The sequence below is a fragment of the Homo sapiens genome, chromosome 7, assembly GCF_000001405.40.
Source record: "Homo sapiens chromosome 7, GRCh38.p14 Primary Assembly".
Classification (NCBI taxonomy): Eukaryota; Metazoa; Chordata; class Mammalia; order Primates; family Hominidae; genus Homo; species Homo sapiens.
The window spans coordinates 110,662,423-110,674,929 of record NC_000007.14 but is presented as its reverse complement, the minus strand read 5'-3'; the positions used below and the strand labels follow the sequence as shown (position 1 = coordinate 110,674,929).

At 39.2% G+C, this 12,507-nt stretch overlaps 1 protein-coding gene across 12 annotated transcripts in view; it reads left to right on the top strand.

Annotated features, from left to right (window-relative positions):
• IMMP2L (inner mitochondrial membrane peptidase subunit 2) overlaps positions 1 to 12,286 on the top strand; it is an 899,849-nt gene extending 887,563 nt beyond the window's left edge. For all 12 annotated transcript variants that reach the window (NM_001350963.2, NM_001244606.2, NM_001350961.2 and 9 more), the window contains one exon: positions 11,209 to 12,286. In NM_001350963.2, coding sequence (NP_001337892.1) covers positions 11,209 to 11,218 — 10 coding nt within the window. In that variant the 3' untranslated portion in view covers positions 11,219 to 12,286. The remainder of the gene's footprint in view (positions 1 to 11,208) is intronic.

Sequence of the window (12,507 nt, the reverse complement as noted above, 5' to 3'; positions counted from 1 at the left end):
GGTCTTACAAGAGAGATCCAGGGATCTAAGGAAGAGGATTACAAACTGGAAGGACAACAGTAATCAGAAGCAGGCAGATAGATATGGTATGTCCTGTTGTAGGTGCTCTGGAGAGGCCCTGAGAGTAGAGTACTTGTACTGAGAAATCATGAAGATGAGTTTGGAAGGATGTGACTGTGAAGGACCTTTGATATCAGATTGGAGAGCTGACATTTCTTTAAGCATTGAGAAATCAGTACTTATTTTAGAACAACATTTCAAATTTTGGATATTGTTTCAGTTCGTTTTGACTTTCAAACATAATTGTAGGTAATTTAATATTGTAGAATAAATATCATCTGACTGCTGCTTTGTTTATTTGGAAATTTCTCTCTCTTCTTACGCTGCTAAGTAAAATTCATCAAAATATTTTATTTGCTAAAAGTGCAGGTTGTTTCTCCTGCTTACAAAATATTTTAATCAAATGGATTTAAAAGTGTTGTGCTTCACCTCATTCCTCACACCTGACATTGATCATCTTCTGACCCTGGCTCTAGTTCTGACATGGTTTGGCTGTGTCCCCACCCAAATCATATCTTGAATTATAGTTCCCATAATCCCCATGTGTCATGGGAGGGACCTGGTGGGAGGTATTTGAATCATGGAGGCAGTTTCCCTCATGCTATTCTCATGATAGTGACTGAGTTCTCATGGGATCTGGTGGTTTTATAAAGGGCTTTCCCCCTTTTGCTTGACATTTCTCCTTGCTGCTGCCATGTGGAGAAGGACATGCTTGCTTCCCCTTCTGCCATGATTGTAAGTTTCCTGAGGCCTCTCCAGCCATGCTGAACTGTGAGTCAATTAAACCTCTATCCTTTGTAAATACAGTCTCAAGTAGGTCTTTATTAGCAGCATGAGAATGGACTAATACAGTAAGTTGGTACTGGGAGTGGGGTTCTGCTTAAAGATACCCCAAAAAGTAGAAGCAACTTTGGAACTGGGTAACAGGCAAAGGTTGGAACAGTTTGGAGGGATCAGAAAAAGACAGGAAAGTGTGAGAAAGTTTGGAACTTCCTAGAGACTTGGAGGGCTCAGAAGACAGGAAGATATGGGGAAGTTTGGAACTTCCTAGAGACTTGTTTAATAGCTTTGAGCAAAATACTGTTAGTGATATGGACAATAAAATCTAGGCTGAGGTGGTCTCAGATGGAGATGAGGAACTTGTTGGGAACTGGAGCAAAGATGACTTTTGTTATGCTTTAGCAAAGAGACTGGTGGCATTTTCCCCCTGCCCTAGAGATCTGTGGAACTTTAAACGTGAGAGAGATGATTTAGGATATCTGCCGGAAGAAATTTCTAAGCAGCAAAGCATTCAAGAGGTAACAGAGTAGAAAGTTTGGAGAATTTGCAGCCTGATGATGCAGTAGAAAAGAAAAACTCATTTTCTTGGGAAAAATTCAACCCAGCTGCAGAAATTTGCATAAGTAATGAGGAGCCCAGTGTTAATTGCCAAAACAATGAGGAAAATGTCTCCAGGGCATGTCAGAGACCATCATGGCAGCCCCTCCCATCACAGGCCTGGAGGCCTAGGAGGGAAAAATGGTTTCATGGGCTGGGCCCAGGACCTACCTGCTCTAAGCAGCCTCAGGACATGGTGCCCTGAGTCCCAGATGCTTTGGATTCAGCCATGGCTAAAAGGGCCAAGGTACAGCTCAGACCATTGCTTCGGAGGGTACAAGCCCCAAGCCTTGGCAGCTACCATGTGGTTGGGCCTGCAGATGCATAGAAGTCAAGAATTGAGGTTTGGGAACCTCCATCTAGACTTCAGAGGATATATGGAAATGCCTGGATGTCCAGGAAGGAGTCTGCTGCAGATGGGGAGCTCTCATGAAGAGCCTCTGCTAGGGCAGTGTGGAAGGGAAATGTGGGGTTGGAGCCCTCACACAGAGTCCCCACTGGGGCACTGCCTAGTGGAACTGTGAGAAGAGGGCCACCATCCTCCAGACCCCAAAATGGTAGATCCACTGACAGCTTGCATTGTGCACCTGGAAAAGCTGCAGACACTCAACACCACCCCATGAAAGCAGCCAGAAGGGGAGGTGTTCCCTGCAAAGCCACAGGGACGGAGCTGCCCAAGGCCATTGGAGCTCACCTCTTGCATCAGCGTGACCTGGATATGAGACATGGAGTCAAAGGAGAATCATTTTGGAACTGTAAGGTTTAATGACTACCCTACTGGATTTCAGACTTGCATGGGGCCTGTAGTCCCTTTGTATTGTCCAGTTTCTCCCATTGGAATGGGTGTATTTACCCAATGCCTGTACCCTCATTGCATCTAGGACGTAACTAACTTGCTTATGATTTTACAGGCTCATAGGCGGAAGGGACTTGCCTTGTCTCAGATGAGACTTTGGACTTAGACTTTTGGGTTAATGGTGGAATGAGTTAAGACTTTGGGGGACTGTTGGAAAGACACGATTGTGTTTTGAAATGAGAGGACATGAGATTTGGGAGGGGCTGGGTGTGGAATGATATGGTTTGGTTGTGTCCCCACTTAAATCTCATCCTGAATTGTAATTCCCACAATCCCCACATGTCATGGGAGGGACCTAGTAGGAGGTAATTGAATCATGGGGTCAATCACCCTCATGCTTTTGTTGTGATAGTGCGTGAGTCTCATGAGATCTGATGGTTTTATAAAGGGCTTTTCCCCCTTTTGCTCAGCACTTCTGCTTGCTGCCACCATGTGAAGAAGGACATGTTTGCTTCCCCTTCTGCTATGATTGTAAGTTTCCTCACAGTAACTGTGAGTCAATTAAACCTCTTTCTTTTATAAATTACCCAGTCTTGGGTATGTCTTTATTAGTTATTAGCAGCATGATAATGGAATAATACAAGTTCTGAAAATCTTTTTTTGTTTTTGTTTTTGTTTTGTTTTTTTCAGCTTCTAAACAGAAATGTATTGCTCACAGTTCTGGAGGTTAGGAAATCCAAGATTAAGGGGCTAGCAAATTCAGCATCTGGTGAGGGCCCCTCACATGGTAGAAGTGCCTGAACATCTTTTTAAAAAATGTCTTTCCTCCCGCTAACAGTCTTGTTCTTCCTGATTTTCTTTCCTGTGTTTTTTCCTCTATCCCAACTCAAGGCTCTTTTGCATTTGCTTGTCCTTATCTTGTCCTTGCAAGCCTTTCCCTCAAGAGAGGGTGAAACTACCTGAAGCCAAGAAATGAAAGAGTGTTAGGTAGACTATAGGTTTGTGGAAAGGGAGGGGAGGGAACAAAAGCCACACACATCTGTCCCCCTGGCATCTGAAGGAAAGGCTGGGCTCATGAAGACTGTGTCTACCAGATGCCAAAATAACTTCTCAGTGGAGCCAACTCAATCAAAGACAGGCAATTCAGTGCAAATTTAGTCCATGTGGTTCGTTGGCATTGTGTGGGCAAAACAAACCCATTGACTGATATCCTGGATCACTTTCCAGCCAGTAATTTTGGTGTTTCCTAAAACAGAGATTGCTAAAGTGGGAAGCAGGAATATTCAAGTAGTGAATACAATGATCCATGGGAGGCAAGAAAAAAAATTAGAACTTCTATTTGTATCTAAAATAAGAATCTAAGCCATATTAACATTTGATTTTATGGATTGTTAATAGCATATATGTAATTTTAACATAAATAATAGGGATGAATCCTCAAATTTTCTGCTGATGCATAATCAAAACAGTTTGGTGACTACTATTCTAGATTATGAATTTCCAATCTGTGGGCTCAGTGCCCTCCCACTCTACCATAGGGGCAAGTTATTACAAGAGTTCTATTAAGACACATAGGTGAACTTATCTTCACATTCAATAGATACTGAAAATGCAATGATCTGCTCAAGGTTGCAGGGTTCATTTAATATGCTTTTGCTATTGTGTTTTGAAATTTACTGTAAAAGTAACTTTCTTATACCTGAAAAATGTGAATCCATTGAAGGAGACACAGTTACACATGGGACACAAATAAGTAAGGAAAGGGGAGAATCAAGTTCCAATAAGATGTTAGGTTGGTTGTTCAAAGTATTTAACCTATTGGAAGAGTTATTTATACTTTAGCATCTCTCTCTTTTTCTTCAAAGCAAAAATTGTTTTGTTTTTCTCTCAACATATTTCTTTGTTCCCCTATTTTGAGGAGTCAGTATTAGGACATTTCATGGACCTGACTTCTAGCACTGTGTTGTTTAGGGGTTTTTTTTGTTTTTTTTGTTTTTTTTTTTTTTTGAGACGGAGTCTTGCTCTGTCACCAAGGCTGGAGTGCAGTGGCATGATCTCAGCTCACTGCAACCTCTGACTCCTGGGTTCAAGCAATTCTTCTGCCTCAGCCTGGCGAGTAGCTGGGATTACAGGCAGGCGCCACTGCATCTGGCTAATTTTTGTATTTTTAGTAGAGACAGGGTTTTGCCATGTTGGCCAGGCTGGTCTCGAACTCCTGACCTCAAGTGATCTGTCCACCTCGGCCTCCCAAAGTGCTGGGATTACAGGCTTGAGCCACCACACCCGGCTGCGTAGCGTTTTTTAAATTCATGTGTGTATTAGCTTGCTAGGACTCTCATAACAAAATACCGCAGATTGTGGCTTAAACAACAGAAATTTATTTTCTGACAATTCTGGAACTAGAAGTCCAAGATCAAGGGTTCAGTATATGTTTGGTTTTTTTCTATAGTCCCCCTCCTTGGCTGTTGATGCCACCTTCTTGCTATGTTCTCACATGAACTTCTCTGTGTGCACATGTGCTTCTGGTGTTTCTCTGTGTGTCATAATCTCCTCTTCTCGTAAGGTCACTAATCCGGTTGCCTTCAGGCCTCATTTTAACTTAATCATCCCTTTAAAGTTTCCATATCCAAATACAGTCACATTCTGAGGTATTAGGAGTTAAGACTTCAACATATAAAGTTGAGGGAACACAATTTAGCACATAACAATGTGTACTTACTTATTGATGAGTCTATTTTTTCAGGAAAGAACGTGGGACCTAGCAGTATTGAGAAGCAATTATATTAGGGCAACTATATTCTTATTTGTCAAGGACAGTCCTGATTTATTTTTATTATCCTGACTTAATAAAAATAGCACCCCCTTGGACTGCCAGAAGTGTTTCATTTGGATGATGAATGATATGGTGATCCTGATAGAAAGCTTCTAGAACCAGAGTTCATGCATTTGAGTCTCAGCTCAAAAAATACATTGCTGCACCTACACTACCTCGGCTACGAAATAGAGGCAGTAACAGTACTTACCCCATGGCTTATTTTAAGAATTAAATGAGTCAGTATGTGTAAGTCATTCAGAACACTGCCCTCCATAGAGTAAGCACTGAGTGTAACACTGAGTAAGCAAAGAGCAGGAGGATTGTATATGTCAAGTGTGATGGTGAATTTTATGTGTCAGCTTGGCTGTGCCAGTGTGCTCAGATCTTTGGTCGAGCATTATTCCGGATGTTTCTTTGAGTGTGCTTTTGAATGAGATTTACATTTAAATTGATCGACTTTCAGTAAAGCAGATTACTGTCTGTAATGTGGGTAAGCCTCTTCAATCAGTTGAAGGCCTGAATAGAACAACAGGATGACTTCCCCTGAGTAAGAAGGAACACACCAGCAGATCGTCTTCAGACCTCACCTGCAACATTGACTCTTCCTGGTTCACCAGCAGTCTGCCTTTGGACTCGAACTGCAACGAACTGCAACTTTTTCCTGGGTCTCCAGTCGGCTGACCTCCCTTGTCAGATTTTGGACTTGCCAAGCCTCCATAATCACATGTGCTAATTCCTTAAAGATAAATCTCTCTTTCTCTCTCTCTCTCTCTATATATATATATACATATACACACACACACACACACACACACACACACACACACACGCACACACACACACACACACACACATACTGTTGGTTCAGTTTCTCTGGAGAACCTAACTAATACAGCCAGTATGCAAGTCAAAACTGTACCTGAAGGATAATTTTTAATTTTTACAAAGTTCATATATTTCTGGATTTTTATCTTTCTATATTCACTATACTCTTTGCCTGCCTATAGACATATCAATTTTAAAAAATGAAGATCCATGACAAGACACTATGGAGGATGAACAGACACTCTCTCTCTCTCTATTATTCTCAATATTAAAAAAAAGAAACCCTGAATTTTGCATTCCCATACCATGTTTTGAAGCAATATTGATGTTATCTGATAGAATTCTCATCATTCATCATTGTGAAGATGAATTATTTTTTTCAGGAAGCAAGAGTAGTAGCCTTAATAAATGTTTAAAATAAAAGAATTCTAAGATTGGTTTTGGTAAAATGAGTGTTGATTTAAAAAAAATTGAATCACTATGCCCAAAACTGAGTCCAAAGCTAAGCAAGCGAGCAGATATATTGGCAAGAGTTCAGCCAAGTTAGAAGACTGGCAAATCACCCTTATGAAACAAAGTTAAACATCTTGAAGAGCAAATAAAGGCTTGAGGTACATCTGAGTAGCAGCTATCAAATTTTAAAAAGGGTTATTGTAGAAGAGATGGAGACCAGCTGTTTTCCAACTCTGCTGAGCTCAGATAAGAACAAAACTGGATAAAAACTGCAATATGACAGATCACTTAGGTCTAGGGAAGTATTTCCTGGAAGTTAACATAGATGGAATGGTTTTTTAGGATGTTCTGGAATACATTCAAGGGATTCTTTAAGGTTGATTAGGTTTACCTTTTCCAGACGTGAAACAAAGTGGAAACTACAGATTTAGATTCCCCAACTGAGTAATCAGCAGAATCACTAGGGTTAGGTGGGGTGAGGAGACTTTAAAAAAAAAACACAGACTTCATTTCTATGAAGTAATAGAGGTAGCTTACAGGATATATTGTTGAGAGTAAAAGCAAGGTGCACAAGAGAATATAGCATGTTACCTTTGGTATAAGTCTAAAAGGGAAAAAGGAATATGTATGTATCCTTATTTGCTTTTTTCCTGCTTCAAAAAGGAAACACAGAAACAACAAACCAGAAACTAATAAAATTAGTTACCTATTGCGGATGGGGTGGAAGATGGGAATGGGATTTCTCTTTGTATACTTTTTGTTTCAGTTTCCTATTGCTGATCTAATAAATTCCCATAAATGTATCTCCTTACAACAGCACAAATATACTATTTTACAGTTCTGGATGTCAAAAGTCCAATATGGGTCTCACTGGGCTAAAGTTAAGATGTCAGCAGGGCTGCATTCCTTCTGAAAGTTCTAGAGGATAATTCATCTCCTTCCTTTCTCTGGCTTCGAGAGGCTGCCTGCATTCCTTGGCTCATGGTCCTTTTCTGCACCTTCAAAGCCAGCAGCACTGCATTTTCAAATCTCTTTGAATCTGACCCTTCTGCCTCCTGCTTTCACTGTTTAGGACCCTTGTGATTACATTCAGGCCCATAAAATAATAGAGAATATTCTTGTTATCTTAAGGTCAACTGGTTAGCATCTTAATTCTTCTTTATTCTCTAACATATTCACAGCTTCTGGCAATTAAGATGTGGACATCTTTTGCCAGGACGGTGGTGGGGCGGCATCATTCTGCCTACCACATCTTTAAAAAATAATCTTAACTTTTGAATGATGTAAATTTATATATATTCAAAAATAAAATGGAATCAAAAATGGGTAATCAAAGCAAACTCTAAAATTGAGTATAAATAGAAACAAATAAGCCTACCTCTATATCAAATGGTAACATAACTATACTGGGGAGAAAAAAAAGAATTTATTCCAGGCCGGGCGCAGTGGCTCACGCCTGTAATCCCAGCACTTTGGGAGGCCAAGGCAGATGGATCACTAGGTCAGAAGATCGAGACCATCTTGGCTAACACGGTGAAACCCCTCTCTACTAAAAATACAAAAAATTAGCTGGGCGTGGTGGCTGGTGCCCGTAGTCCCAGCTACTCAGGAGGCTGAGGCAGGAGAATGGCATGAACCTGGGAGGCGGACCTTGCAGTGAGCCAAGATCATGCCACTGCACTCCGGCCTACAAGTACACCCTTAAACTGAGATATATTTTAAGGACTAAAATAATTACACAGACATCTTAATTTGTACTCAGCAGATTTATTGTTGGTAATGGTTGTAGTGTAGTCACCTTGAAACTATTTTGAGTATATTTTAGGAAAGTATAAATGAATAAATGTGTTAATGTTGTGGGGAGCCAGGGTAATCACTGTGGAAGAAGGGAGATAAAATATGGAGTGCGGAAGGTGAGGGAGAACTTTTTGGTATTGGATTTTTTATGTGTATTCCCTGAAATGGCATAGAATATTGACACCCCAGGAGCACTGAGCACACCTAGTACTAAACCTTGGTTTCTAAATAATGGCCAGGCACGGTGGCTCACACCTGTAATCCCAGCACTTTGGGAGGCTGAGGCTGGTGGATCACGAGGTCAAGAGATCAAGACCATCCTGGCCAACATGGTGAAACCCCATCTCTACTAAAAATACAAAAAATTAGCCGGGCATGGTGGCGGGCGCCTGTAGTCCCAGCTACTCAGGAGGCTGAGGCAGGAGAATGGCGTGACCCCAGGAGGTGGAGCTTGCAGTGAGCTGAGATTGCGCCACTGCACTCCAGCCTGGGCGACAGAGTGAGACTCTGTCTCAAAAGCAAACAAACAAACAAACAAACAAGAAACCAAGGCACTTTAAAGAAATGTCTGATCTCAGGGGGAGCAGGTATTAGGTGCAAGGTAAGCCTGTAACAACTAATAGTGCCAAAAAGTAAGGTAGCGCTAAAATACTGATGGAGATGTATCCAAAGGACACATAGAGCTCCCACTGGCCAAACTTAAGACATTTGAGCATCAAACGGATAAATAAAAAGTAGTCACAGATTTTGACTTAAAAAAAGGACTTCTTGATATTACAATAGAGGCAGTTAGGGTGAAAGGGAAAGCACTTTTTTTTTAAGAGAACAATGCCAACTAATAAATGCAAAAGAAGGAATAGATTTGGAAAATCATTATTTTTGTAATCCCTAATGTAATAAGTGATTCGGACAGGATCATCAATGAATGTTAACACAATTAGATGAAATATAGCTGGCATATAGGATATTTACATTATTACAAAATATCTCACAGTTATTAATTACAGAAGGAAAAAGATTTATTTATGATGGAGAAATCTAGTCAATATTGCCTTAAGTGATCAAACTTGGCATCACAACAATGAGATGCACCGATATTTTGTGCCTCCTGATTTGATGGAACTTGACTCTAGTCATGAGGGAAAAAAAATCAAGCAATTCCAGATATATGACATTTTACAAGGCAGCTTGCTGGGACTCCAGATTAAAAGAAATTAAATGTAAACCGAAGCAAAATAATGACCACCAAATGCAATATGTGACTCTTGATTAGACCTTGAATTTTTAAAATAATGGCTATAGAAGACATCAGTGGGACAATTGGAAAATTTTGAATATGAACTATGTAATAAGTAATATTGTATCTACATTAAATATCTTGTGTATAATAATGGTATCATGTTCATATATGAAACGGTCTTCATTCTCAGGAGATATATGTTGAAGTTTTCAGGGATAAATTTAGCATGATGTCAACAACTATCAAACAGTTTAGAAGAAGTAGCTGTGTACATGTCTCATATATGTACATACACATAAAATGAGAAAAAAATGAATGCAGCAAAATGTAAATGCTTACTTTTGATGGAGCTGTTTTTTGTACCACACTTTCAAATTTTTTACAGGTCTGATTTTCAAAATAACAAGTAGAAGAAAAAAAAGAACCCTTTATTGAGCCCAAGGGCTTCTTGCTACCCTTCGTGAATATTTAGTTTGTATTTCAAGTTGTTGTTAAAAGATTTTTCTTCTTCTTCTTCTGTGTAAACAATGTGTTTTTGATTATCTTTTTGGAAGCCTTCCCTGACATCCAGTTCCGTCTTCGAGTCCCTAGACAATGTGATTTTTTTGAATACATACGATAGCAAATAGAAGAGATTTCCTGAATTCATGTGATAGCAAATAGAAGAGCTTCAGTGAAAGGAATGTTTTATGTTAATCTCTGTGGAAGTCCAGTTTATAGGAAAAACATTTGAAAATAAAATGGTAAATAAAGTGGACATATAGTATTACTTTATAACCGGCACTCAGTAAATATGTGCTAAATATGAGTGTATTTTGTAAGCTTCTAAATACCATTAAAATATCACCTGATAGTAACTATAACAACAACAATTTTTTTAAAAACACAGATTTCCAGGCCCTCCTTCAGACCTGTTGAAGGGTAATCTCTTAAGATAAGACCCTGATCTGCCTTTTAAACAAGTTTGCTATGTTCTCCTGTTCACCGAAATTGATGTCTTTAAGATTTAAGATGTTTAAGGGCTCCCTTCCTGTCTTTGGGCTCAGCCTTAAGTCCTCCCCCTCACCTCCTCTTCCATCCTCGCCAATCTCTGCTCTCCTCTGCTGATGGGGATTCTTTACCATCTGCCATGATCTGTATACTTTATTATTTTTCCTTGCTACCCATCCCACCTTGTTTGCTTTCTCTTTGTTTTCCACCTCTCTCCATGAGTACTAGATCCGTGTTACTCAGTGTACTCTCCATGGAGACAGCCCACCCAGTCTCACACCTAACTCCTGCTGCTCATCTAGTAGGTGGGACAATGTTTTTCACAAAATATATATATTTTTTAGGACTCTGTGATTTTTCCATAAAGAAAGTCTCTCTAGGATACCAATGACTCTGCGGGAAACTCTGAGAATATACGCCAGATTTATGCTTCCTGGGTCTATGCAAATAGGCTCTTGAGGCTAATGGTTAAGATGGTGGACTCGAGTCAAACTGCTTGGTTCTAAACACAGACTAACCGCTTGGTAGCTGTATGAATTTTGGCAAATTTTTTAACCTCTTTGAGCTTTGCTTTCTCATTTCTAAAAGGGAAATACTAACAGAACCTACTTCAAATGGTTTTTGTGAGGATTAAAGGAGTTTATATACAATAGCACCTAGAAAAATGCTATATAAGTGCTTACTGTATTTTTCTTTGTATTTCAATGGCTACAAAAGGTGTTTACTATTTTTTTTATTCATCATCACTTCTCCCTGGGATGTTAAACCTGGATTAAATTCTGCTTTCAAGCTATTAATAATGATTCTTATAAAATGATCTCTTTATTGCTTTCTTTCTGTTTCTCATGAATTAAGGTTTCCCTAGGACTTCTGCATGCCCATGCCACACATATCCTGTGGCCCCCAGAGCGCTGGCAGAAATTGGAATCTGTTCTTCCTCCAGAGCGCTTACCAGTACAGAGAGAAGAGGAATGACTGCATGAATCTACCTGAGTTGCTGGCATTGGGAGGCCAGTTACTGGAAAGGAATGGAAAAAAGAAGCCTCCAAAAGGGAAAAACTTCTGACAATATGATGCTGTGCGAGAAATATTTACAGCACATTAAAACGATCTGTATTATTAAATAAATAATTTTCAAATGTTAAACAGTATTAAATGGCACCTGATTTTGTGTTAAATTTTAGTTCCCTGTTGTTTAATGCCCCCAAAATATGCAGACCTTTGGGAATATAAAAATATTGCACCCACATGTCTTAATGGGGCTGAATTTCAGATTATTTGTTACATATACTTATTATATTGATTGTTGGGTTTTGATTTTGGTGCTTGCTGCTGAAATAAATTGAAAATTAATATTCAATAAAAATGATGTATTTGTCACTTGCTGTTAAGGTAGAACAAGAAGGAACACATATTATACACATAATGATGGGAATTACATTGTGATTTGTACTATCTACAAAGGAGTAACTGCCAGTTAGGAAGAACAGTAAACAGTGATGTTAAAATAAAACAATGATTTGCTAAGGTCCTGTTTTGAGTATTTAATTCTCATTGAGTACATCCATTAATGAGGAATTTCTTATCTCTTCTGAAAATAAGGAATCAAAGTAATGGAGAACCCATTCTGTCGACACTTGCATACAGTCAAGCCTTTCTTATTGGCCCTTTGTAATCCAACATTTCTGAGTGATCTCATGCCTATTCACAATGATGGGTAAACCCCTTTATCCGCATTTAGTCATACTATGTGTTTAAAAGTTCTGAGTGAAATAGAAGAAAAAACAGTCCAGATCAGCCACGTTTGATTTTCTTCCCCTAATTATTTCTCAGTATTCACGTCTGTAATACTGAAATCACCAATTGCAAAGTTACAGTAGAATCATAGAGTCTGTAATTTGTATGGATAATGGAATAAATTCCCTGCATCTAAGTCCATGTTTATGAAAGCTTCTTTTTCTCCCATTGGTTAGAGGTTTGTGTAAATTATTATTAGCATAATCATATTCAACAAATATTAATGAGCACTTACATACTAATGTTGGACAGAATTTTTTTTAAAACAGATCTGCTTAAAATTTTTCTGTGGCTCTTCATTGCCCTTCTCAATTCTTCAGTTCCATTTTCTCTTTTCCCCAACTCGAACTTCATACC